This window comes from Homo sapiens, chromosome 22 (genome assembly GCF_000001405.40).
Source record: "Homo sapiens chromosome 22, GRCh38.p14 Primary Assembly".
Classification (NCBI taxonomy): domain Eukaryota; kingdom Metazoa; phylum Chordata; class Mammalia; order Primates; family Hominidae; genus Homo; species Homo sapiens.
The window spans coordinates 38851524-38877196 of record NC_000022.11 but is presented as its reverse complement, the minus strand read 5'-3'; the positions used below and the strand labels follow the sequence as shown (position 1 = coordinate 38877196).

General features: G+C 53.3%; 1 protein-coding gene across 2 annotated transcripts, besides 12 other annotated features; it reads left to right on the top strand.

Moving 5' to 3' along the window:
• Positions 2639–3838: an enhancer, noted in NCBI's record as "BRD4-independent group 4 enhancer chr22:39269364-39270563 (GRCh37/hg19 assembly coordinates)". NCBI's record gives its function as "activates an origin of replication core promoter dependent on BRD2, P300/CBP, MED14 and CDK7 cofactors, and independent of BRD4, by STARR-seq in HCT116 cells {active_cell/tissue: HCT116}" and the evidence as "EXISTENCE:reporter gene assay evidence [ECO:0000049][PMID:35650434]".
• Positions 2639–4224: a biological region, named in NCBI's record as "BRD4-independent group 4 enhancer GRCh37_chr22:39269364-39270563".
• Positions 2643–2822: an enhancer, noted in NCBI's record as "active region_19023". NCBI's record gives its function as "activates an Ori minimal core promoter by ATAC-STARR-seq in GM12878 lymphoblastoid cells {active_cell/tissue: GM12878}" and the evidence as "EXISTENCE:reporter gene assay evidence [ECO:0000049][PMID:35858748]".
• Positions 3675–4224: an enhancer, noted in NCBI's record as "H3K27ac hESC enhancer chr22:39268978-39269527 (GRCh37/hg19 assembly coordinates)". NCBI's record gives its function as "activates a minimal SCP1, AML or CMV promoter by ChIP-STARR-seq in naive H9 embryonic stem cells {active_cell/tissue: H9 hESC(naive)}" and the evidence as "EXISTENCE:reporter gene assay evidence [ECO:0000049][PMID:30033119]".
• Positions 4225–4775: an enhancer, noted in NCBI's record as "H3K27ac hESC enhancer chr22:39268427-39268977 (GRCh37/hg19 assembly coordinates)". NCBI's record gives its function as "activates a minimal SCP1, AML or CMV promoter by ChIP-STARR-seq in naive H9 embryonic stem cells {active_cell/tissue: H9 hESC(naive)}" and the evidence as "EXISTENCE:reporter gene assay evidence [ECO:0000049][PMID:30033119]".
• Positions 4770–5029: a silencer, noted in NCBI's record as "silent region_13736". NCBI's record gives its function as "represses an Ori minimal core promoter by ATAC-STARR-seq in GM12878 lymphoblastoid cells {active_cell/tissue: GM12878}" and the evidence as "EXISTENCE:reporter gene assay evidence [ECO:0000049][PMID:35858748]".
• Positions 4981–15775, top strand: CBX6 (chromobox 6). 2 transcript variants are annotated; one of them, NM_001303494.2, is made up of 5 exons: positions 4981–5075; positions 5252–5295; positions 5440–5505; positions 5651–5717; positions 10050–15775. In NM_001303494.2, exons 1-5 carry the CDS (start codon positions 5007–5009, stop codon positions 10986–10988), a joined length of 1185 nt encoding a protein of 394 aa, NP_001290423.1. In that variant the 5' UTR covers positions 4981–5006; the 3' UTR covers positions 10989–15775. The 2 variants fall into 2 exon arrangements, with proteins under 2 accessions (NP_001290423.1, NP_055107.3); NM_014292.5 differs by having other exon boundaries at positions 9996–15775.
• Positions 5060–5209: a silencer, noted in NCBI's record as "silent region_13735". NCBI's record gives its function as "represses an Ori minimal core promoter by ATAC-STARR-seq in GM12878 lymphoblastoid cells {active_cell/tissue: GM12878}" and the evidence as "EXISTENCE:reporter gene assay evidence [ECO:0000049][PMID:35858748]".
• Positions 5310–5359: a silencer, noted in NCBI's record as "silent region_13734". NCBI's record gives its function as "represses an Ori minimal core promoter by ATAC-STARR-seq in GM12878 lymphoblastoid cells {active_cell/tissue: GM12878}" and the evidence as "EXISTENCE:reporter gene assay evidence [ECO:0000049][PMID:35858748]".
• Positions 10458–11269: an enhancer, noted in NCBI's record as "H3K27ac-H3K4me1 hESC enhancer chr22:39261933-39262744 (GRCh37/hg19 assembly coordinates)". NCBI's record gives its function as "activates a minimal SCP1, AML or CMV promoter by ChIP-STARR-seq in naive H9 embryonic stem cells {active_cell/tissue: H9 hESC(naive)}" and the evidence as "EXISTENCE:reporter gene assay evidence [ECO:0000049][PMID:30033119]".
• Positions 11388–12265: an enhancer, noted in NCBI's record as "H3K27ac-H3K4me1 hESC enhancer chr22:39260937-39261814 (GRCh37/hg19 assembly coordinates)". NCBI's record gives its function as "activates a minimal SCP1, AML or CMV promoter by ChIP-STARR-seq in naive H9 embryonic stem cells {active_cell/tissue: H9 hESC(naive)}" and the evidence as "EXISTENCE:reporter gene assay evidence [ECO:0000049][PMID:30033119]".
• Positions 12266–13145: an enhancer, noted in NCBI's record as "H3K27ac-H3K4me1 hESC enhancer chr22:39260057-39260936 (GRCh37/hg19 assembly coordinates)". NCBI's record gives its function as "activates a minimal SCP1, AML or CMV promoter by ChIP-STARR-seq in naive H9 embryonic stem cells {active_cell/tissue: H9 hESC(naive)}" and the evidence as "EXISTENCE:reporter gene assay evidence [ECO:0000049][PMID:30033119]".
• Positions 16746–17625: an enhancer, noted in NCBI's record as "H3K4me1 hESC enhancer chr22:39255577-39256456 (GRCh37/hg19 assembly coordinates)". NCBI's record gives its function as "activates a minimal SCP1, AML or CMV promoter by ChIP-STARR-seq in naive H9 embryonic stem cells {active_cell/tissue: H9 hESC(naive)}" and the evidence as "EXISTENCE:reporter gene assay evidence [ECO:0000049][PMID:30033119]".

The following is a 25673-nucleotide window of genomic DNA, read 5'->3' as shown; positions in this document are numbered from 1 at the left end:
TCTTGTGTTTTAAGCTACTAAATTTTTGTTTGCTGTACTACAGGTTTTTTTGGTGAAAGGAAGGTAAGTCTCAGGACCCCCAAATCACTAAGCCAAAAAGAAAGTTGTTGGCCGGGTGCGGTGGCTCACATCTGTAATCCCAGCACTTTGGGAGGCCGAGGCGGGCAGATCACGAGGTCAGAAGATCGAGACCATCCTGGCTAACACAGTGAAACCCCGTCTCTACTAAAAATACAAAAAATTAGCCGAGTGTGGTGGTGGGCACCTGTAGTCCCAGCTACTCGGGAGGCTGAGGCAGGAGAATGGCATGAACCCAGGAGACAGAGCTTGCAGTGAGCCGAGATCGCGCCACTGCACTCCAGCCGGGGCGACAGAGCGAGACTCCATTTCAAAAAAAGAAAAGAAAAAAAAAAGAAAGACAGTTGTTGCCTTTTTTGGGGTTGAAATTTGAACCCAAAAAATCACTAAGTCAAGCTGGGGACTGCATCAGGCAAACTTGGCTCCCATTTTTTCCCCAAATAAGATAGTTACAAAGATTAAAAAACTACATATCTCCTTCAGAGTTTGCCCCCAAGGAATTTCCATGTGGGCCTCAGCATCTTTACCCTAAAACAGTTCTGTTGAATTTCACCTTGGCAATGTAAATTGATAGTTTATCTTAACAGATGCGGGACAAGGACAGAACTCAAAGTCATCCCTCTTCCCACCCGAGACAAATGCATATCTGATTGCTTCCTCCGCCTGTTGCTTATGTAAAAATGCAGATTCACTGAGACAGACTGAGGCATAAGTGACTCTTCCTCTACCCTCCTCACATGTAAATTGTGTACTCAGTGAAAGGCTGATCAGAATCAAAATAATACAACCTTTTGTCTCTTATCTACCTACCACCTGGAAGCCCCCACTTCGAGTTGCCCCACCTTTCCAGACTGAACCAATGTACATCTTAAATGTACTGATTGATGTCTCATATCTCCCTAAAATGTATAAAACCAAGCTATACCCCTATCACTTTGGGTACAAGTCATCAGGACCTCCTGAGGCTATGTCACGGGCACGTCCTTAACCTTGGCAAAATAAACTTTCTACATTGATTGAGACTTGTCTCAGATAGTTTTGGTTCACAATTTCATAGGAAACTGATTTGCCCTCTGTCTGGGCAACAACTCACACAGGCTAAGAGATCAATTTTTTTCCTTTGTGATGTTACACCAAACCTCAGAACTATAGACTGTCAGAGGTGGAGGGGATTTTTTTCTCATAGAATAGAGACTATCTTCTCCAGGTGCTCATAAACAAGGGAAAAGCATGTGAGAAGTCCATAAATCTCTCCAAAATTTTGGAATGACTTGGAAATAACAGATTTTCAAAAGAGTCACCTGCAGCTTGTCGCAGTGGCTCACGCCTGTAATCCCAGCACTTTGAGAGGCCAAGGCGGGCGGATCACGAGGTCAGGAGTTTGAGACCAGCCTGGCCAACATAGTGAAACCCCGTCTCTACTAAAAATACAAAAATTAGCCTGGCAAGGTGGCGCGCCTATAGTCCCAGCTACTCAGGAGGCCAAGGCAGGAGAATCACTTGAACCTGGGAGGCGGAGGTTGTAGTGAGCCAAGATCACGCCACTGCACTCCAGCCTGGGCAACAAAGGGAGACTCCACCTCAAAAAAAAAAAAAAAAAAAGTCACCTGCCAAAAAATATAGAGCATGAAAAAGGGCCAGTTCCTCCCCCATTTTTGAAGTTGAAAAACTAAGATCCAGAGAGTAGAAAAGGACTTGTACAACATCACACGATTACCAAAAGAAAAGGGATCCAAGCCTGGCTGCCCGAATTCCCACTTCATCTCATCACATCCCTCCTCTACTCAAAACTCCCTCACGCTTCCCACTGCCTGAGACAAAGTCCAAACCTACCCAGCATTCAAGGCCCTTCCCAAGTTCAGTCCAACCCATCTTTCCATTGCCATCCTTTGCCGTACTGCCCCAACCCATGCCATAGCAGACTTCTTTCCCATCCCCAAAACACACTCTCAGGCTCTGATGTGCTTGTTCAAGTTGACACCTCCACCCGGGACACCCTTCCCATTCTTCACTTGTAGGCCAATTCCCATTTGTCTTTCCGGCCCCAAATCAGAGGTCTCCACCTCTGAGAAGCCCTCACAGCCTCACCTCCACGTGGTAGGTTGCTCCCCTATGTCCACTCCCAAGACATCCTGTACAGACTCTTGTGGCAGGCTTATAATGCCTCCCCGAAAGATGTCCGTGTCCTAGCCCCTAGCCCCCAGAACCTGTGGATAGGATACCTTACTTACCATCCATGTTACCCTATGGTAAGAGGGTCTTTGCAAATCTGATTAAGTTGAGGTTGAGACGGAAAGATCATTCTCAATTATTTGGGCAGACCCAATGTAATCACAAGTGTTGTTAAAAGAAAGAGGCAGAAGCCAGGTGCGGTGGCTCACGCCTGTAATCCCAGTACTTTGGGAGGCTGAGGCGGGTGGATTACTTGAGGTCAGGAGTTCGAGACCAGCCTGGCTAACATGGTGAAACCCCCATCTCTACTAAATACAAAAATTAGCCGGGTGTGGTGACGCATGCCTGTAATCCCAGCTACTTGGGAGGCTGAGACTGGGAGAATTGTTTGAAACCGGGAGGCAGAGGTTGCAGTGAGCCGAGATTGTGCCACTGCACTCCCACCTGGGTGACTGAGCAAGACTCCATCTCAAAAACAAAAACAAAAGAAAGAAAGAAGCAGGAAGTGAGCAAAGGGATCGTGGAAACAGAGATTTGAGTGATGAAGCCATGAGCCAAGAAATGCCAGCAACATTTGGAAGCTGGATGAGGCACGGAACAGATACTCTCCTTGACCCTCCAAAAAGGGACCAGCCCTGAGGATACCTTCACTTGGGCCCAGTAACACTGATTTGGGACTTCCCGCCTCCAGAGTCATCAGATAACAAATGTGAGTCATTTTAAGCCACTGAGCTTGTGTTAATTTGTGAGAGCAGCAACACGAAACTCCTACACCTTTATTCTAGCATTAGTCACACTGTGTGACAGGTGCCGTTCTCACTCCACTGACAGCTCCTCAGCCTGGGGCACCTTTGTTTCCTGATGGTTTCACACAAAGCCTGGTGCTTCACAAGGGCTCACAAACACTGCTGAATGAATCAACAAGTGGACTCACCTGCTTCATCCCCCGCCTGTCTCCGTCAGCCTGAACACACACACACTGTCATACCCACTCCTCTCACCTGCTCACCCACCACCACCCACATCTCCCAGGAGGACATTTCTATTTTTACCACAGCAGCTCACCTTGGGCTGGCCAGCAAATAGCTGTTTCCCTGGAACATACTGATTTTAAGTGAGGAGAGGGATTTCTCTCAAGGTAATAATTGGACAAATCTGCTGGGAGAAAAAGACTAACATTTTGCTATGGTGGATTTGAAACCCAAGAATTGGCATTGTAGCACAGAAACGCAAAAATCTTTCCTAATGAGCCATTGATGTTCGCAAGACACAACCCTGACTCTTCACAATCCCCATTCCTCCCCACCCCATCTCAGCCCCAAGGTGGTCACTGGAAGGATGGTGAAATCTGTATTTAATGACACTGAAAGATGTCCACTTTATAGCATTAAGGGAGAAAAGCAGATTCCAGAACAGTGTGAATAGCGTGATCCCATTTTGTTAAAAAATTAAATCTACAGACAATGTGTATGTGTATGTATATACATACATACATAGGTGTACGTGAGTTTATGTACGCATAGAGCAGAGGCTGGAAGATTGGTGAAGATGTTAACAATGGTTTTATGGGGGTTATGGACAGTTGTTTTATCTGTATTTTTAAAATTGTTTTACAAAGAACAAGACTACTAACATAATGGGAAATAAAGTTCAAGTAATTTCAACATTTAAAAAGTGGAGCGTTTTGCGCGGCAGGGCTATTTTTTGTGTGTCCGTTCCTGGACAGCCCCAGCTCGATCCCCCGCCCCTCCTCAAGTGGGAAGCTGGGATCTGGGCTCCCCAGAGCAATGGCGGAAGCTTCGCGCAGCTGCGGGCGGGGAGAGGGACGCGGCCAGGTCGGGGGGCCGGGAGGGGTGCTGGGAATCGGAAAACACAGATATGACCGCGAAGGCGGTTTCTGCCGAATGACCAGATGATGACCCGCTGTGGGCCCAAGGCGGAGTGCGGGGAGCCCGTTCCTGCCCGCGGTCCCTCTCCCTCCCCCACTGCCACACCGGCCCCGCCGAATCCTCCCCGGTCTCCTGGGCGAGGACAGGTGCCGCCCGAGACCCCGGCCGCAGACAGATGCCCACGGTCACTCCGGCCTTCCTCGGCCCCATTCGCCGCACACCCCCTTCCTGCGGTGGCGTTTTTGTTTTAACTCTTCTGAACTGGTTACAAAACCACCCTCCCACGAATACATAAATAATGGGTGGGGGGCGATGTTTTAAAGAAATTCCCGCAAGGCCTGGCAAGGCAACAGCAACTGCATTTCTGCTGCATCATATTTAACTGTTTGCAGGCTGCTGCGGGAGATGCGCGGTGGCGGCGAGACTCGGGCTCCACAGCCCTTCTCCGCCCGGGGCCTGGCGAGACTCGCGTGGGGATTAAGAGGCAAGGAGAGGGTGTCAGCGATCGGGCGCCGGCAAGATGTGAGGGGGGGTGATAAGCGTAAGGCCGCAGCGTGCCCACAAGCCGGGCACCCATCGGGTCGGCCGGCAATTGCTCCCTCCGCCCGCGCGGCCCCTTTAAGAGCCAGCGCGCGCCCCCGCCCCGCGAGCGCCGACTTTCCCTAGCAACCGCCCCGGGGGAGGGGGAGGTCCTGGCAACCGCGCGCCAGCCGCGAGGATCACGTGACGGCCCGCAGCTGGAACGCGAGCGCGCGCCCCGCCGCGCTCCCGCCCGCCGGGGCCTGGGCGCTGCGGCGCGTGCGCGAGCGGTGCCGCACCGGCCGCGGGCGCAGGGAGTATTATGGGCTGTGGGTGCCGCTGAGCAAGATGGAGCTGTCTGCAGTGGGCGAGCGGGTCTTCGCGGCCGAATCCATCATCAAACGGCGGATCCGAAAGGTGAGCCGCCGCCCGGGGCGGGCCGCCGCTGTCCGCAGCCGGGGCCGGGGCCGGGGGCCCTCGGGGCGAAGCGGTCCCGCTAGCCCGGCTCCCTCGCCCAGCCCCGCGCCGCCGCCTCCTCGCGTCCCCGCATCCTCCCCACCCCCACCCCCGTTTTTCTCCCCTCTGTTTTTCAGGGACGCATCGAGTACCTGGTGAAATGGAAGGGGTGGGCGATCAAGTGAGTGTCGCGGGGTCCGGGGGCGTCGCGGGAGGGGAGGCAGCGGGCACCGGGGCCTGGGGTGGGGGTGCGCGCTCTTGCTCTCGCCGCGTGCCTGTCCCTCTCTGGTCTTCATCCTGATTTTGTGCGTTTGTGACTCGGCAGGTACAGCACTTGGGAGCCCGAGGAGAACATCCTGGACTCGCGGCTCATTGCAGCCTTCGAACAAAAGTGAGTTGTTGGGGAAGCTGGCAGGGGCTGCGAGGCCGAGGCTCGGCTGGGGCGCCGCGCGGGGAAGCGGGAGAGCCGGGGAGGGCAGCGCGGAGTGGGGCCCGGGAAGGGGCTCTTTTTAACCTCTGGTGTTTTTCGGCCGCAGGGAGAGGGAGCGTGAGCTGTATGGGCCCAAGAAGAGGGGACCCAAACCCAAAACTTTCCTCCTGAAGGTAACCTGGCCCAGCCCCAGCAGCATCCCCCTCTCGGGCCCCCAGCCCCGGCACAGCACGGGGCCTGGAAGGGAGGGACAGATACGCGGCCGCCCAAGCGGGCCGGCCTTTTCAGAGGGGCCCCAGCTGGGCAGGGGGTGGTTGTGAGCCCCCCCAGAAGCCCCTGATGGCAGGCCTCAGCCAGCATCAGCTTCAACAAGAGGGTTTTGGGACTGGGGATAATCCTCCCTGTTGAAACCAGGGGCTGGGGATGCCTTTAGGGCTCCAGGAAAGGGGGTGGCTGAGGCAGGTGGGGGATGCCCATGGGAAGGGGGCATTTGTTTGAGCTGTTATGACTGTGCTGGGAGTTGGAACCCAGGGGGAGAGTGAGTGGGGTCCCACCTCCTGGCAGGGCACAAGGAGAGGATTTGGGGGACCACCTGCCTCCCTGCCCCCAGCTTCCCCCGTTCAGTCTTTCAGGATTTGTTCTTCATGGCTCCCCTCCTTTCTTGGGGATCCAACTTGAATTTGACCTCAAATCATTTTACTTTGAATTTATCACCCAGGCTGGGCCACTAACTTTAGGGCTCTGAGCCTCAGTTTCCCCCCACTCCCGGCCATTTCTGGGGGATGGGGATGTGGGAGTGAGAGCATAGCATATTAGTCTCTGCTAGGGAGGGAAGAACTTCCAGAGGAAGCCATCTTGGAGGATTTGGGTTTTTATTTTATTTTGACAAGGAAAAACAGAGTCTGGGAAAGGAAGGGCAAGATGGCCCTAGGTGGCAGGCACGGCTGCAGGTGGGACTCAGTGGGCCCCCTGTCTTCCTGTAGTGCTACGGATGCCTCAGGGCCCCCTCCCACCCGACAGCCGGTGACTTTGTGGGAGGACTCTTTTTCGGAGAAGAGAAGCAGAAGTGAAAGAAATGTTGGTTTCCAGAATTTCATATTTTTATAACCCCCACCCTCAAGCGACGCACATCCTAGGGGATCCAGGGAGTAACCTTAACCCTGATGCTTCTCTTGGGGAGGGATGGGCGGAGCAGCTGGAAGGCTGGTGGGCTGTGTGACAGCCTCTCAGTGCAGCTGGGGCACCCTCTAGCGGCGAAGCGAGTATGACCATGAGCATTGATACACAGAACGCCTTTTTTTCTTGATAGTTCTTTTGGTTCCTGAGCTGGCTGTGGGCCTAATACAGGGCTGAGCCCCCACATGGATTATCTCCTTTAATTCTTTCAACAGTTCCAAGAAGTAAGGAGTATTATCCCCATTTCACAGATAAAAAATCAAGGCCCAGGAAGGGAAAGTGACTTACCCGAGGTCCAGCTTCCTGGCTTCATCCTGTCTCCTTTTCTTCATCTTGTGCCTTGAGTAGTCCATGTCAGGTTAAAGGGGGAAGGCAGACACACACAGGAAACTATGAAGGCTGCAGAGTTGGCGTGGCAGGGGATAGAGACACAGATAGTAGGACTTTTTTATCTGGACCCTAAGAAACAGGTAGCCTGAGAGTGATGTGGATGTTTGTGAGGGGCTATGGAGATTAGCTTGGGCTGAACACATTGTTCTGGGGCTCCCTGAGAGGCAGTATGGCAGAGTCAGCAAATTACACTCAGCGCTTTCTGCCAGGAACTACTCTGAAGCAAACAGGAGCCCATGAGATAGCTTCCATCCTCCCTGTTTCACGCATGGGGAAACAGGGCCAGAGGTGTCCAGTAACTTGCCCACAGACATGGGGAGAGGCCATGGTAGAGTTCAGGTGCTTAAACCTTCACACCATCTACGGTGCTTGCCAAGCCCACAGAGCTATGCCTGTCACCTGGTCAGGGTGCAATAAGCATGTTGGCTACAGTTATTTTTAATTCATCAGGCAGACCCAGGTCCCACTTTCAAAGAGTTCTCCATGTGGGGAGGAAGAGGAAGGGTAAACCCTTTAAAAAATAATAATATATAGAAAGTATAAAGTAAGAAATGTCAATGTATGCCAAGCATACATTGGAAAAAGATCACTGCTTATAAGTCCACCACCCATGGGTAGGTCTGTTCAGTTATTTGCTGCGTGCCAGGCACTGTGCTGAGCAGGTGCCATGTACTCTCTGATCATCATAGGAGTGCCCGTAGTAGGCCCTGTGATGGTTCAGCAGATAAGGAAAGGAGACTCACTGAGCCAGGGTTTCTTTCCGGGCCTGCCATTTGCCCACACTCTGCCCCTCCCCCAGGAACAGTCCGTCACCACTGGACTCTTGGAAGCATAATTTCAGAAGTCAGGAAGCTCAGGCAGTTTGCAGAGGGAGTAAACACTTTCTGAGAGTCAGAAAGTGTGGGGATGCACCTGCAGAATGTCTGCTTACCACGCCAAAAAAGCCTGGGCTTTTCCCTGCCTTTGTGTGGGAAGGGGTCTGAGGGGCCCAATCCCTGGGAGCTGGGCTGGCAGCATTGGCATGGGCAGGCCCGGCTTCATGTGCTGCCACCTAGTGGCGGAAGGGACTGTTAACCAAGCAGCCCCAGGAGGCCCCAGCCTGGGCTGGGAGGACCACGTGGAGTCACAGTCCCTTCTCCCATGGGGGTGAACGCCACGTTCTAAATGAAGACATCCTTGCTTAGCCAACAAATAAGCCAGCAAACATCTCTCCTGAGAGTTGTGATCAAATGGTAATCTAGTCTTGTCTGAGAGGCATATGGGCTACCTCCAGGTACTAGTTAAGCATCCAATGCTGTGGGGAGTGGGAGGTAGAGAGACCTCACAACAGATCCCACCCTCATGGACCTCACAGACCAACCGTGGGGACATGGCCTTCTTCTCGGTCCCAACCATCTCCCACCTAGATTGAGGGCAGCCATCACCTAACAAGCCTCCCTGCCCCAGTAGGATCTCTAAAACCCACGCCCCTTGTGGCACCCCACACACACCCCAGCCTCTGTCCCCAGCCCTTGCTTTCAGTCCTGTGACTCCTCGCCATCTTCTCACACCACTGGGATCTTGCCCAGAGGACTCTCTGCCTCTACCATCTGTCTGTCTTAGCAGGCCACCGCAGCCTCTGGAACTGTCTGGGGTGCAGTCAGGGCTCAGTAAGGACCAGGACTTTTTCCTACTTAGGTGTCAGGGCCGGGCTTTGATGTTTCATTCTCCAAGCCTGGGGTCTGTGCTTCTCTGGGCTCTGTGGTTCTTTCGCTGCACGAAATCACTTCATATTCCCACTGCCCACCGTCCTCCCTGTGATAGGGCAGCTCTCCAGGGGAGAGTCTGTGCGTGTGCAGCTGTAACCCCAAGCAACTGGTGCCTGGTGCCTCAGTACCTTCCTTAGTAAAGAAAGGACTGGCCATGCAGACAGCTTACATCGCCTTAGGAGTCCCTTAGCCTCTCTCCATTTAGTGGCATCTGACAACGGGTGGGTTGGACCGGAACCTGGGGTCTCTTGAGAGCCCTGTGGCTTTAAAGAGATTTCATGCCTGGAAGGACAGCTGGAAGGACAGGCCTGGGAGCCTGGGGCAGTATTCCTGGCTGCCCACGACCTCTGCACCATCATCCTGCCCCAGACCATCTTGGCACAGAGAATAGGCAGTGGTCGGGCCCACTTCTAGGCCTGTCCCCACCAAACTCACGTCTGACCGGGTTGGGTTCCAGCCCAGGCTTTGGGATGCATTGGTACCAGTTCACTCTGAGCCAGGCACTGGGCAGACAAGTAAATGAGACCCATCCAGGGAAGTATGGTGGCTGAGGTGCTGGCCAGCTGAGGAGACAGGCTGGAGCCGGAGGTCAGCCTGCTCAAAGGCGAGAGAGTACGGGGCATTGGGGACATGGTGGCTCAGCAGGACTTGGTGCGGGGGAGCAGGGAGGACCCACCTCCTCCTTTCTGTCACCACGAATGAGTCCGTGGAGGAGTCCCCACTTGGGCTGGATCTGCCACAGAGCAGGGGTTTAGCAGGGGCTTCTGAGCAAACGGCTGCCCTCCCGACACTGTGTCCCAATTGTCGACACTCCTCCGTGTCAGCAAGGGCAGCCATGGAGTGGCCCAGGGCCCTCTGTGGAGCTAACAGAGGTGGTGGGTGATAGAAAAAACACAGTTTTGGAATTGGGCCTGGACAAGGGTGTCCTGACTCTGACCTTGGAGTCAGAGGCAAATTGCTTCATCTCTGAACCTCTGTTTCCTTTTCTAAGTCGAGGTCATGAAGACCAGTGATTATCTTAAATGATCTCGGGATCGCTGGCTGAGAGGCTCTACTTAGGGCTGGCTGGCGTAGGGACATCCAGGGGAGGTCAGCGGGCAGTCCTGAGGTCCCACCCACCCCTCCCTCTGCCCGCAGGCGCGGGCCCAGGCCGAGGCCCTCCGCATCAGTGATGTGCATTTCTCTGTCAAGCCGAGCGCCAGTGCCTCCTCGCCCAAGCTGCACTCCAGCGCAGCCGTGCACCGGCTCAAGAAGGACATCCGCCGCTGCCACCGTATGTCCCGCCGTCCCCTGCCCCGCCCGGACCCGCAGGGGGGCAGCCCCGGACTGCGCCCGCCCATTTCGCCCTTCTCGGAGACGGTGCGCATCATCAACCGCAAGGTGAAGCCGCGGGAGCCCAAGCGGAACCGCATCATCCTGAACCTGAAGGTGATCGACAAGGGCGCTGGCGGCGGGGGCGCCGGGCAGGGGGCCGGGGCGCTGGCCCGCCCCAAAGTCCCCTCGCGGAACCGCGTTATAGGCAAGAGCAAGAAGTTCAGCGAGAGCGTCCTGCGTACACAGATCCGCCACATGAAGTTCGGCGCCTTTGCGCTGTACAAGCCTCCGCCCGCCCCCCTGGTAGCCCCGTCCCCCGGCAAGGCTGAGGCCTCAGCCCCGGGCCCTGGGCTACTTCTGGCCGCCCCCGCCGCCCCCTACGACGCCCGCAGCTCTGGCTCCTCCGGCTGCCCCTCGCCTACACCACAGTCCTCTGACCCCGACGACACGCCCCCCAAGCTCCTCCCCGAGACCGTGAGCCCATCCGCCCCCAGCTGGCGCGAGCCGGAGGTGCTCGACCTGTCCCTCCCTCCCGAGTCGGCAGCCACCAGCAAGCGGGCACCGCCTGAGGTCACAGCTGCTGCCGGCCCGGCACCTCCCACGGCCCCTGAGCCCGCCGGTGCCTCCTCCGAGCCCGAGGCTGGGGACTGGCGCCCCGAGATGTCACCCTGCTCCAATGTGGTCGTCACCGATGTCACCAGCAACCTCCTGACGGTCACAATCAAGGAATTCTGCAACCCTGAGGATTTCGAGAAGGTGGCTGCTGGGGTAGCAGGCGCCGCTGGGGGCGGTGGCAGCATTGGGGCGAGCAAGTGAGGGGGCTCCACCAAGGAGGGGGGCTTGGGGGGGCCCTCCTGCCCGAAGTCATACTCTTGCTCCCACCCCACCCTTGCCCCCAGCCCTCTCTCCCTGTGCTTTGCTTGTCTCAAATGGCTCGGTGTTGACCCAGGGATGGGGCTGGGTAGTTGGGGTCCCAGAAAGCCGGGGGTAGGGGCCACCCTGGAATGGGGCAGGGGAAGGGCACACCCCCTGCCCATGCATGGTAGCCCACTGGGTGGTTTCTGGAAAGCCCTAGAAACTAGGGTTCCTCTGCCCCTTCCACATCCCACCTGTCTCTCTAGCTTGCTTCCTGCTCTCCTGTGCGGCGTCTGATTTCTCGGTGCTAACCTGGCAGCTGTGGGGCCCTTAGGAGCCCCCCACCGAGGGTGGACACAGTCCCTTTCCTTCCTGCAGATGCCTAGGCAGGAGGAGGGCTTCCTGCCTGTTTGGCAAAGTCCCAGGCAGAGGCCAAGGATGAGGCCTGACTCGGCTCCTCCCTCCACATCAGCCAGGGCATCAGAAGTTGGGCCAGGGCGGGGTCTTCCCTGCTCGATTTTGGACGAGGCCTAAGTAGACCCCCTATGCCCTGCCCCAGCCCTGGCTCTTTCCTAACCCCCTCAACGGTGGGAGGAACTGGCAGAGGGTGCGCCTGGCCACAGCCTCCCCGCATCTAAAGGCCCCTTCAGTTCTTGACCAAAGGTGCTACGAGAACCTGCCGTGGAAACTTCCAGTTGTGCGTCTGCCCCACTCGCTGTGTTTGTCCGTGGGTTCATACATGCATTGGGTGCTAGGCCCCAGGCTGCCGGGTGGCACCCTTTACAGTTCCTTTGAACAGGGGCATTGAAGGCCTGGACTGCCTCTCGCCTCAGTAGGCCTGGGGACCAGGCTTGGGTCTGGAGGTTTGCTGTGGAAGTCACCAGGCCTCCCCTCCTGGCCCAGGTGTGCTGGGGGCACCGTGCCCCCCACCCCCCTGCCCTCCTCAGGGTGGTCAGCCCAACCTGTCGGACCTTCACTTCACATCATGGTGGGGACCGAGATAGAGAGGGAGACCCCATTCCAAGCTCCCTCTTCCTCCGGGTGTTTGGGGAGGATGCTGAAGAATCCATTCCCGAGGGCCTCCCGGCTTGTCCCAGCCCCTCTTTTGCTTCTGACCACGGAGGCTTTCTCACAGCCCAGCCTGCCTGAAGCAAAGGAGGCTCCCGTGTCCTGGGCAGCTTCTGTTTCCCTCTGCTGCCTGGGAGCTGAGGCACCCGTGCCAGTGGCAGAGGCCACAGCCCCAGCCTTAGGCCAGGCCCTGGGAGGGCAGGCAGGCAAAGGGGAGACCAGAGGGTCTGTGTTCTCCAGGAGAATGAGGGTGTTGGTCCCAGAATTGGGACCGGGGCCCCGCTGGCCAGCCCTGGGCCACTTCCCGGGTCTCCATTGTGCGTGGGTGGCGTGTTCCAGGCGTGGCTGGAGCTGGCTTCCTGGCTGTGCTGCCATGGGCCCCTCCCTCAGAAGCACGTTGGCAGGAGGCCGATCAGAACCCTAGCGCCTTTGGTCCTAAGAATGGGAGGCTGCCTTCCTTCCCAATCTCCCTGCCAGGGCCCACAGCGTGGCCCTAGCCCTCCCCTCCCCGGGATGTAGAACGGGGACCCTCGCAGGGTTGGGGCGGGGGCTGATACTCCTCGGCCCCTCCCTACCCTGCCCTGTGTGTTGGCTTTGTGGCCGTCCAAGTGCCAATTGGCTTTTCGCCCAAATAAGGGCTGGTATTTCTCCTCTGTCCTTGGAGGTGATTTCCCCCTGACCCCCTCCCCCAGGTGAGTGACCACCTGGGTGCCAGTTACAGGTGTTTCCAGAGACCATAGAAATGTGTTTTCCTGAGAGTTCGTGTCATTCGTGACTTTTTTGTAAAGAAGTTGTGTTTTCAGAGGTGATTTTATGACAGGAAAGTGAAAGAATTAGTTTTGCAAAAAAACAAAAACAAAAAAAGAGGAAAAAAAAAAGAAATAGAAAAAAATATTGTGGGATTCCTATGGGGGGGTGGCGGGGGAGAAAGAGCTATTTAAGAAAAAATAGTAACGCAGTGATTGCACAGGTGAGGTGGCAATGTCAGGATGGGGCGGAGGCCTGGGCCCAGCTGGCAGGTCCCCTGGCATCGCAGGCACTGTGGAGAGGGCCTGGACCCAGATCTCCACACCCGTGCTTGCTCAAAGGGAAGGACAACAGCGGGCCCCCGGGAGCTAACCCAAGCTGCAGGTCCCGGCAAGCTGAGGTTTGGGAGGGTGGGGGTTGTCACTGGTGATTTTCTCCAGGGGGCTGGTGAGTGGGCAGTTTGGTTTCTTGCCCCCTTCTGTTCCTTTCCCAGTTGTTGGGCCATCTGGTCCCCACCACCGCCACCCTATGGGGGAGACCTCCCTCCCCACGGGTCACCCTAAAGCCCACAACCTCTCTGAGCCTCCCTGGCCTGAAAGGGGATGCAGGCTTCAGGAGGCAAGAAGCTGGGCCCCTGGGGGTGGCTGGGGAGAGGGAATGCATTTCCCTTGCCACAGGTGGTCTGCTTCTGCTGGCCTGAGCTCCAAGTGGAGCAGCCCGGGCCAGCCTTGGTGCATGAAGAGGCACCAGGCACACCGCCTTGAGGTGGGCAGTGCCCATGGGGGCCCGAGTGGATGGGACCGAGGGTGAGTGGAGCCTCCTTCCTCCCCTCTCTAGTACCCCCGCCTCCCACACACTTGCACGGATCGGCCTCCCTTGGGAGATCAGCCTCCATGGGCCCCTCGTCCACCCTTGCTGCTTTCCATTTGCCTAATTACCAAGCAGAAGTTGCAATCTGGTTTGCTTTATTTTTGTATGTGAAATAACCCCCAAAGCCCAATCTCCTCCTACGTTCAATATTGGTTGGGGCATCCGTCATCTCCCCTTAAGTGCGCCCCCTCCCCACCCAAGTATCATAGGAAACCGGTGAGGTCTGGTGTCTCTGGTTTGAGACGGTAAGTTGGGACCCATCCCTGTCTGGGTGCCCACTCTGACCTTTAGTTTGCCCTTCTGTGAAATGGGTGTATTGGGTAGCAAGCCCTCTTCAGAAAGCGCTGCTGGTGTCAGAGCAGCTGCCCAGTACCAGGTGGGGGGTCAAGGTTGCTGGTACTGGGGCCCCCAGCTGCCCACAACCCCTCTTTGTTCTCACCCTGCAAAGGGGTCAAGGTCAAAATGAGCCTCATCCTTCCTATGATCTGGGAAGAGGTGATGATCAAGTCCCCAACTTCAGTGTGAGGTGGACAGAGTTGGGGGGATGGCCCCTTTTTGAAGAGGTGAAAATGGTTTTGGAGAAGCGCAGCTGCTTCACTGGGGGAATGCGGCAGGGACTGGGGCCCAGGATGCTTTGGCCTATGGGGAAAAGCCCTTTAAAAGGCAGGGCCCAGGCCCTGGAGCCAGCACAAGACTGGCCTCGAGCCCCTGAGCCAGGAGGTCCTGGAGGAGAGCCAGGCCGGTGGGCCCGCCCAAGGCTGGAGGGTCAGCCCCAACAGGGAGCTGGGTTGGCCAGGGGGCTGGACTGCTACCAGCCTCTCTGGCCTATGGGGACCCAAGAGGACACATCCCCCTTTTGCCCACTCTTCTGTGTCATTTTGTTGTTTTGGTTTGTGGTGGTTTTTCTTTTTTCTTTTGTTTTTCTTTTTTCTTTCTTTCTTTTTTTTTTTTTTTTTTTTTTTTTTTGCACTTCGCCCACACAGGACAGTGGAGCCCCACCTGGTCAGTTCCACTTCCGGGCTCCCATGCACTTGCCCAAGGCGGCCTCTTTGGGACGGGGATGGTTTGAGGAAACACTTTTAAAGAAAAAAGGAAGACATTGAAAGGTTTTAGTTTCTTCCCTATCTGCATGTCCTCTCATATAGAAAGCCCAGAATTAGGGGCTAGAACTCCAGGAGAGGGTCTCCCCGACTCATCTCTTGCTGACGGTCACCAGGATGCAGAAATAGGGAGATGGTTAGTGGGGGCCAAAGATGCCCCCTCCCAGGCCTTCGTGGTTCCCTCCTCCGCCCCCTGCAATCTTTGGAGGAGTCAGTGCCTCACTCCAGCAGTGAGTGCCTACTGTATGCAGGTAGTCAGCCAGGCAAAGAGAGACTAACGGTCTCATGGGGGAACCCTCTTGCGGGAGGCCGGGTAGCTGGAGCGAAGCGTTCCGGCTGCCCTTGCTGCTGGGTGGAGTGGAGAGGGAGACTTCTTTTTGTTGGTTTTAATTTAAAAACACAAAGGCCTAAAGAAATACGTATCTTATAATTTTTTTAATTTTTGAGACGTTCATTTAATGAATTGTGCACGAATGAATTCTATATATATAAAATATACATATATAGCTCTATATTTGGGGAGGGGCACTGTCTCTTTTTTCTCTCATTTTTAAAATGAAGTGTTGTTGCCTTTGTATGTGGTTCAACCATCCAGCTCCCAGCTGGCTAAACTTTGCCTCCAGTGGTCAAAGATGGGAAAAGAGTGGGGTTGGCAGGAGATGGAAAACGGAGGTGCCGCCCCAGCATGGGGGGCAGGTCCCCCAGTCCACCCTGCCCCTCCCCCTGTGGAGAAGACGCTTAGTTGGGGGTGTGGGTTTGGGCTCCATTCTGGATTCGGCGGTTCCGGGGGAGGGGTGGGTCTGTGCCGATTACTCTGTCTTGTACGTTTGTTCTGCTGCTCTTCAATATTGTATCAACGCCAGGAAAGGGGGGTGAAAAGCCTCTTTTACCCCCCAAATAAATTGTCACATTCCGAAGCTGAGGCCTAGCCCCTAGGTTGGGGTGTGTCTGTGTCTTCTTCCAGCTGTGACTGGCTTTTCAAAAGTAGCAGGCCCATGTCCCTCCAGTGACAGGTGAAGAGGGGGAAGCCCTGTCCCACCGCTGGCACTCACTTGCTTCCCGGTTCCTATCTCCCACACTCCCCCAGCTCACATGTGCCTCAGTGGGAAAAAGAGATGCCTGCTGCTTCTTGGACCCTTGAGAATAACGGGTAGGTGAGAGTGGGAGGATGGAGGTCTCATCACTGCCTGTCCCTCAGTGGGAATCACAGCACCCGCAGAGAGGAAGGGGCCTCTGGGGTTGTGGCCCCAAAGCCCAGAAGGGAGCAGGCCGGAATGGGGCACCAGCTGCTCTTGCCATTGGGTCCTACAGTTTGGCACCCAACCGTGCCATAAAGTCCGATATCACATTCGGATAATGAGAATGGTGGTCTTCGAGTTTGTTTTCTGGGTGCCATGTGCCTTCTCTCTTGAGGTGACGCACCCTCTCCCCACATAGGTGGGCTTAAAAGCAGCAGCCCCAGGCAAACTTCCATGCCTTCCCCAGGTGCCTGGCGTTCCACCTGCAAGCTCCCGATGACTCCCGTGGCCACCTGTTTGCCAGGCCTCGGACAGGTAGCGCTCTGGTCTCCCCTTCCTCACCACCCCACCTCCTGTCTGGCCTCTCTAGTATCTCCCCGCCCTGCAGCCTGGGGTCCTGAGCGCTTCTGCTTTGGCAGCGGCTCTGGCCTGGTCCACCAGTCTCCATCCTGGCCTGCACCTGCCCCCTGTGTCTTCCACACCAGTGCCATAGGGGTCAGGGAGGCTACCGCCCCAGCGCCACGGCCTCTAGGCAGGCAGGAGTGTGATCTAGTTCCTTGTCATGCCTGGTCCCGGCGCTGGGGATATTCAATGCAGACAGACCCTGCTGTTAATTTCCAGGCTGCAATGCCCAGAGCCCCCACAGCTCAACACAGCCTGTGTGCCATCTGCAAATGGCTGAGGTGCAAAGTCTCCCCTAGCCTCCACCTCCCCGCCCCCCTCCTCCTTGCCTCCCTTTGCCTGAAGCCCCTCCCCTGCCACCTGCCCTCCCGGGCCCTGCCCTGTCTCCTCCCTCGGTATTGACCTGCGGTTTTGTCCTTCCCCCTTCCTAAGGACAGGGCTGGGTCTTCATCCCCTCTCTGCCCACACCTCAGTGTCTGGCACATGGTAGGCCCAGATCATCTCCGTCACCAAGCTCAGTCCTCTTCCTATGCTGGCTGGGACAGTGAGGCTTGGGAGCGGCTGAGAGGTAGACCTGGGGCTCAGTGCAATCAACCAACTGCCTCTGAGCATTACCAGTGGGCCTGGCCTGGGCCAGGCAGGGGCCAGCAGGACAAATGGGAGTGTGTCCCTGTCCCGGATACGGGGCTGCCACTGGGCAGGCAGGTGGGAAGGGACCCACAGTGAAGCACCCACAGGGCAGGGGAGGCCAGCCAGTAAGCCAGGGCTGGTCCTGCTCAGTGCCACTGCTGCACCTCACGGCCACCTCCTTGTCATCTTGAGCACCTGCCTTGGTGTTCTACTCCCAGAAAGCCCTCATTCGTACTTATTTTTTTGAACCCCAAATTATTAGCGCACCTACTATCGGCCAAGCCCTGGTGAGCACGTCACTGGCCCTAGCCCATGTCCCTAACCCGTGCCCAGCGAGCCCATGAGTTATGAGCAGATGTCATGGGGAAGAGGAGGCCAGAGAGGCGAAGTCATTAACTTGTTCATTTGTCCAAGGGGGCACAATTGGAGCAGGGGAGTCGGCATTCACCCCAGCCCCATCTGTTTGCCCCTGAACCCCAAGCTCTTGGGAATGAGGACATGGGGCAGCCCATGTGAGGCAAGTGCAGGCCGAAATTAGTCACCGTGTTCCTGATCACAAGTCCTGCCATTGCTAAGCAGGTAAGTCTCCTTATTAGTTGAGGGTTAATGAGTGAGGAGGCTGTGGCAACTTCTCGAGGAACTGAACAGTTTGTGAAGAGGACTGGGCAATACCAAGCAATTGCCCGAGAGCGAGCTGACTCGGCTTAGAGAGGGGGGTGCCTGCCTGGCCCCCACCCCTTCCTTGTCCTATTCCTGGGCCTCCTCCCAGGGTTAAGGGTCAGCGGTGGGATGAAGCTCAGGGGTGGGGCAAGCCAAGGAGTAGGGGGATGGGATGGGATGTGGATGACTATTTTTGCAAAATTACCTGGTTACGTTTGTTTGTTTGTGACAGAGTCTTGCTCTGTAGTCCAGGCTGGAGTGCAGGGGTGCAACCTTGGCTCACTGAAACCTCCGCCTCCTGGGTCTGGGTTCAAGCAATTCTCCTGCCTCAGTCTCCCGAGGAGCTGGGATTACAGACACATGCCACCACGCCCAGCTAATTTTTGTATTTTTAGTAGAGACGGGGTTTCACCATGTTGGCCAGGCTGGTCTTGAACTCCTGACCTCGTGATCCACCTGCCTTAGCCTCCCAAAGTGCTGGGATTACAGGCATGAACTACCATGCCCAGCCCTTGGTTGCTTTTTAAAAGCTAAAAGTTGAAATTTTTTGGTCCATGTCAAGCCATGCCTGGAGTGAATAGGGAGGTGACAGAGGCCACATCAAATTGCCCAGCCCCCCCCCAAGCCAGCTAACAGGTCTGCGAGCTGATTCTGTGCCCTCTTTGTTCAGGCTGCTGGCTTCTGGGAGGACAGACTTCAAAAAGGCCTGGTGGCCTGCAGAGGCCGAGCACAAGGACACCTGATCCACAGCGGTGGGGTCACAAAGGAAGCAGCAGGGGGAGGCCCCGTCCTGGCCTCCAGACATCCACACGCGCTGAGCATCAGCCAGGGAAGCTGTGAGCTCAGGAGGGAGTCCCAGGAGGGACAGAGGCCACTCCAGGGCGAGACTCGAAATGACCCTGGCGAGGATAATGAGGCCTGAGGCAGTGGGGACAACAGAAAGTGGCCAGAGTGGATGGGATGTTTGGAATATTTAGAATTTGGTGAGGGACTGCCTTTGAGAGCTTGTATAAAAGCCTTTTCGAAGAAGCACCTGGGTATGTGGTATAGGCAGAGGAGTGAGTGAGTGCATTCTTCTCAGGTGGAGAACCTGGTGGAGGACACAGCTTCCAGGGACACATTGGGAGTAAATCAGCCATAGGGTCCTGGAGGGATTTTCATCTATGGATTTGAGGCTCAGAGCGAGCTCCTGCCCACCCAGGCACTGCTGGACAAATCTGCTGAAGGGTCTTTGTCCCTTAGTGCACCTCATCTCTGAGATGACTGGTCACCAGCCATCCTGGAAGCACCACCACGGACATAGGTGCTTAGCTCTGGAAGCCACTGGAAATTCCAGGGGTTAATGTCCAGCCCCTTGCCGCCCGCCTCTACCCCATCAATCTCATACCTTTTATCTCCATGAGCAGCCCCCATGAGGTGAGGCTGGGGAATGATTAACCCCATTGGATAGGTGCAAGGCGAGGCCTGAGAGTTGTAGGGTGGGGATGCTCTGCAAAATCACTCAGAGGCAGAGAGAATGGAACCCAGGTCTGAGGCATGAAAAGATAGAACCTTCTGTCCTGCTAACCTTCTGTCTATACTTAAAGACTGGGTAAAACATAAACATTCTTTCAAATACCCAACTGAGTTTCCGAGATTAAAAAAAAAAAAAAAATCCCCAGGGACCAAAAACAAAGAGAAAAGCCAAAAATCACAGTGACAAGCAGGTGTTTATTCTTTGGCTGTCCTACAGGGTGGGCCTATGGGTGGCAAAGGGAGGCAGGAGATGGGCGTGGGAGGTGGTGGCTTTTGCTAATGTTGGTAACCAAAGGAGCTTGGATTTTATACCTGTGGAGGGAGGGATAGGAGACAAGGCCTGGGACCCTTGCCAGCAGAAATTTGGAACCAGAATAAAACTGGACCCATATCCTCAATGAAAAAAGCAAATGGTGGGGAAAAATCACCCTTTCACAAAGGGAAAAGACAAAAAAGTTGTAGTCTCATTTCTGGCTCGGCTGGAAAAAATTTGAAAAGAATGATCTCTTGAGAAATTTTAACTCTAGACCTTCACTAACACACATTTGAGGTTTGAATTTGTATTACCCATATGGTCCCAGGACTCCCAAGTATAGAAATTAATATAAGAAAAAAACCTGGGGCGAGTTACACCACAGACATGTGGCTACTAGTAGCAAATGCAAGCCTCTGTGGATAGCCCTACCCACAGTAAAGGCCACACAGGATTCTCACAGATAAAACCATTGTAAATGTGAGCTCACTATCCAAAATTACAAAAACACGCAAGCCACAAAGACAAATAGCAAAACAACCAACAGTACATACAGAATCCTGCACCCAACACGTTATTTTCAAACATGCATTGAAGATGTCCTAAAACTGCCAGGCACAATGGCTCATGCCTGTAATCCCAGCACTTCGGGAGGCCAAGGTGGGCAGATCACCTGAGGTCAGGAGTTCGAGACCAGCCTGGCCAACATGATGAAACCCCATCTCTACTAAAAATACAAAAATTAGCCAGGCATGGTGGCACATGCCTGTAATCCCAGCTACTCGGGAGGATGAGGCAGGAGAATCACTTGAACTCGGGAGGCAGAGGTTGCAGTGAGCCGAGATCGCGCCACTGTACTCCAGCCTGGAAGACAGAGTGAGGCTTCGTCTCAGGGAAAAAAAAAGAAAAAAAAGTTTTCCTAAAATTGTCATGTATATCATATAGCAGGAGATAAAGCAAGTCTCAATAAATTTCAAGAAATTGGCATCTCAGATCATGTGTAATTAATTAAAAATCAATAGCAAATAGTGATAAAAACAGTGTTGTACTGGCATAAAGTTGGCCGTATAGACCAAAGGAATAGAAAGGAGATCCCACCATAAACCTTCACATGTATGGTCAGATGATTTTTGACAAGGGTGCCAAAACCATTCAATGGTGAAAGGACAGTCTTTTCAGTGCTGGGAAAACTGGATATCCACATACACAAGAAGGAAGTTGTATCCTTACCTAATGCCATATACAAAACTTAAAATGAATCAAAGACTGAAATGTAAGACTTTAAAAAACTTTGAGAAGAAAATATAGGGCAAAAGCTTCATGACACTGGATTTGGCAAAGATTTCTTGGATATGACTCCAAAGGCACAGGCAACTAAGAAAAAAATAGATAAGTTGGACTTCATGAAAATTTAAAAATTTTTGTGCATTAAGAGACTATTAACAGAGTAAAAAGTCAACCCACAGTATGGGAGAAAACATTTGCCAGTCATGTATTTGATAAGGGACTGATACCGGAACACATAGAGAACTGCTAAAACACAGCAACAACAAAAACCAAAACCTGATTCAAAATAGGCAAAGAACTTGAATAGACAGCTCTCCAAATAGGATATACAAAGAGTCAAAGGTCACATGAAAAGATACTCAACATCACTAACCATTAGGGAAATGTACATCAAAACTACAATGAGATGCCAACTCATACCTATTAAGATGGCTACTATTTAAAAAAATAAATGTTGGCAAGAATGTGGAGAACTTGGAACCCTTGTGCACTGTTGGTAGGAATATAAAATAGAATAGCTGCTGCAGTATGGCGGTTCCTCAAAAAATTAAAAATGCCATGTGATCCAGCAATTCCACTCCTGGATATATACTCAAAAGCATTGAATGCAGAGTCTGGAGAAGATATTTGTATACCCATGTTCATAGAAGCGTTACTCACAATAGCTAAATGTGGAAGCAACTCAAGTGTCCATCAATGGAAGAATGGAGAAGCAAAAGATGACATACACATACAAGAAAGGCAATACACATACACAAAAAGAAAGGCATTCTGACATATGCTCCAACATGAACAAACCTTGAGGCTATGATGCCAAGTCAAGTAAGCCAGTCATAAGAAAGACATATACTGTATGATTCCACTTACATGAGATATTTAGAGTAGCCAAAATCATACAGAGACAGTAGAATGGTGGTTGTCAGGAGCTTAGGAGGAGGAAGGATGTGGAGTTAGTGTTTAATGGGTATGAAGTTTCAGTTTTATTTATTTATTTTTAAATTTATTATTATTATTATTATTACTTTTTTTTTTTTTTTTTGAGACGGTGTCTCGCTCTGTCGCCCAGGCTGGAGTGCCGTGGCACAGTCTCGGCTCACTGCAAGCTCCGCCTCCCAGGTTCATGCCATTCTCCTGCCTCAGCCTCCCTAGTAGCTGAGACTACAGGCACCCACCACCATGCCCAGCTAATTATTTTGTATTTTTAGTAGAGATAGGGTTCTACCGTATTAGCCAGGATGGTCTTGATCTCCTGACCTCGTGATCCGCCCGCCTCGGCCTCCCAAAGTGCTGGAATTATAGGCATGAGCCACCGTGCCCGGCCAATTTACTTATTTATTTATTTTTGAGACGGGCGGAATCTCACTCTGTCGCCCAGGCTTGAGTACAATGGTGTGATCTCGGCTCACTGCAACCTCTGCCTCCCAGGTTCAAACGATTCTCCTGCCTCAGCCTCCTGAGTAGCTGGGATTACAGGCATGCGCCACCACGCCTGGCTAATTTTTGTATTTTTAGTAGAGACGGGGTTTCACCATGTTGGCCAGGCTGGTCTTGAACTCCTGACCTCGTGATCCACCCGCCTTGGCCTCCCAAAGTGCTAGGATTACAGGCGTGAGCCACCGTGCCCGGCCTGAAATTTCAGTTTTACAAGACAAAAAGACTTCTGGGATGGATGGTGGTGATGGTTACACAACAATGTGAATGTATGTAATGCCACTCCACTGTACACTTAAGAATGGGTAACACAGCCGTAAAAAGGAATGACATCATGTCCTTTGCAGGGACATGGATGAAGCTGGAAGCCAGCATCCTCAGCAAACTAACACAGGAACAGAAAGCCAAACACTGTATGTTCTTACTTATAAGTGGGAGTTGAACAATGAGAACACATGGACACAGGGACAGGAACAACACACACCAGGGCCCGTCAAGGGGTGGAGGGGAGGGAGGCATCAGGACACATAGCTAATGCATGCGGGGCTTAAAACCTAGATGAGGGGTTGATAGATACAGCAACCCACCATGGCACATGTATACCTATATAACAAGCCTGCACATTCTGTACATGTATCCCAGAACTTAAAATAAAATTTAAAAAAAAAATAGTTAAGATGGAGCTGAGGGCAGTAGCTCATGCCTGTAATCCCAGCACTTGGGGAGGTTGAGGGGTGGATCACTTGAGGCTCGGAGTCTGAGACCACCCTAGGCGACATGGCGAAACCCCATCTCTACAAAAAATAGAAAAATCAGCTAGGCATGGTGGTGTGTGCCTGTAGTCCCAGCTACTCAGGAGGCTGAGGTGGGAGGATCACTTGACCCTGGGAGGTCAAGTCTGCAATGAGTCATGATCGTAACACTGCACTCCAGCCTCGGTGACAGAGCAAGACCCTGCCTCTAAAAAATAAAAAGAGTGGTTAAGATGGTAAATTTTGTTATTGTAACATATTTTACTATGATTAAAAATTTGAAAAACAAAACAAAATCAATAGCAGTTAAGATGGTAAATTTTGTTATTGTAACATATTTTACTATGATTAAAAATTTGAAAAACAAAACAAAATCAATAGCAAAAAGATAACTAAAACCCAAAACTTCATCTATCCGGACAGTAACCCAGAGCTCTCTTTCCCCTGCATCTTGCTCCCTCCCCAACCTTCTGAAATCTTTAGGACAATGAGATTCAAAGATGAATGTGAACATTCCTAATAGCGAGCAGACACGCAGGGGGCGCACAGCCAATCTGACTTAAAGCTGGATGGGAACAGGTCCCCCTCTGATCCCTCTAGAAGGGATGTGGCCTTCATTAGAGCAAATTGGTACCAAAGTCTTTTCTGTCTTTTCCAAAGGATGAGTGAGCTCAGAGCTTGACAAAGACATGAGCCTCCATTTAAATGACGGCCGCCAGCAATCAGCCTTTATGAACACAAGGGCCTGGGAAACATCGGTGCGGAGCCAGGGTGGGCTGATGGAAACAGAACAAAGCCGGGTGGCAGGGGTCCTCAGTCCTGTGAAATAAGGACAAGCCCCCCACCAGCTTATCCTGCCTATCACGCCTCAGGGCCTGAAACTGCAGCGCCAGCAACAGGCTCTTTCAGAGAAGATCTGGATATCCCTAGGAGTTCTCGGTAAAGGCTCAGATACTCCCAGCCGTGAGCAAGGAAACAGGACACACTTTGGAAAAGGCAAATGTGGACCCTGTCCCCCAAGGGGACTCATTAAAACGATCGTCACTCGCTAGCTCCCTTGGCAGTCCCTGCTGGCACACACGGCTTGGTCTCTGTGCAGTGGTGCCCTTGTAGAAGGCTTCTGCTCTTATCATCTCTGGTTCCCTCTGGGGGGCTCATCTGCCTGCCTGCCTGCCTTTCAAACTCAGGCACCATAAAGAGACCCTTGTCCATGAGACAGGCGGCCTGGTTTGCAGCCTCTCGGTCACTTCTCCAGGCCTCAGTGCTCCTCAGCTGGGAAGGAGACTAGGACCCCCTACTTGGCAGGCTTATTTGGATTAAAGGAGATGGTGAGTAAGAAGAAACACCTTCTAGATCTCTGTGTCCAGATATGACCACAATTCTGACTTCCAGTCTGGCATCCCAGCTATCTGCTCACCAATTCTTGATGTCCTCCTCCCATGTAACAGCTTGAGGTGAGTAGGAAAACAGTGGCTTGAGTCCCAGCTCTTCCAGCTGTGTGACCTCAGCCTGGTCAATCACCCTCTCTGGTCTCTGTATCATCTCCTATAAAATGGGGGAGGGGGCTCCCTCTAATTATCCTTCCCAACTCAGAATTACTCTAAGGATAGCTAACACGTACAGAGTGGACTTTACACTAACCAATTCATTAAATACCCACAACCCAGATGTCCTTGTCTGTTTTCTGTTGCTTATAACAGAATATCTGATACTGCGTAATTTGTAAAGGAAAGGAACTTATTTCTTACAGTTATGGAGGCTAAGAAGCTCAAGGTCAAGGAGGCTGTGTCTGGTGAGGGCCTTCTTGCTGGTGGGGACTCTACAGAGTCCCGAGGTGGCACAGGGCATCACAGGGTGAGGGGGCTGAGAGTGCTACCTCATGTCTCCCTCCTACTTCTTATAAAACCACAGCCCCATTCCCATGATAACCCATTAATCCGTTAATCTATGAATGGATTAACCCATTCATGAAAGCGGAGCCCTCATGACCCAATCATCTCTTAAGAGCCCCGTTTCTCAATGCCCCCACACTGGGGATTAAACTTCAACATGAGTGTTGGATGGGACAAATATTCTAACCGTAGCACCAGAGAGCACAGTACCCACAACATACAGATAAGGGAACTGAGGTTCAGAAATGTGATTACTTGCTTAGAAATTCTGGAGTGGTAGAGCCAGGATTTGACCCCATGCGATCATCCTTAACCACCACGCCAACACCGTTCTGTGCATGGCACCGTGGTTAAGGGCACAGTCACTGGAGCTGGACAGCCTGGCTGTACAGGGCCCTGGGAATATGTGCGTATCTGTTCTGTGCCTTAGTTTCCCCATCTATGAAATGGGAAAGGATCGTAATACCCCCTTCCTCCTGGAATTGCAGGGAGCTCTGCTGAGCGCTACACGAGCCAGGCTCTGAGCTGCACACTCGCATTTCACTCTTGCATAAATCCTCCCGTGGTGCAGCCAAGGAAGCCGGAGAGAGTGGCTGAGTCATTTGCTCCAGGTGACTCTATTAGTAAGTTGTGCAGCTGGGATTAAAATCCAACTCCTTGACTTCAAAGTCCATATTTCAATTACTCCACTCCACCTTGATGCAATGCCCTCAAACTCCACGTTTAAAACCAATCTCCCGACTGCAAAGTGCACCCCCCAACAGGCTGCCTGACTCATCTGCTTCCCTGATGGGGCCTGAA

Coding starts and splice junctions, on each gene's coding strand:
- CBX6 (NM_014292.5), top strand. CDS start 5,007: ATGGAGCTGTCTGCAGTGGGCGAGCGGGTCTTCGCGGCCGAATCCATC. Junction 5,076..5,251: donor TCAAACGGCGGATCCGAAAG/GTGAGCCGCCGC, acceptor TCTGTTTTTCAG/GGACGCATCGAGTACCTGGT. Junction 5,506..5,650: donor ATTGCAGCCTTCGAACAAAA/GTGAGTTGTTGG, acceptor TTTCGGCCGCAG/GGAGAGGGAGCGTGAGCTGT.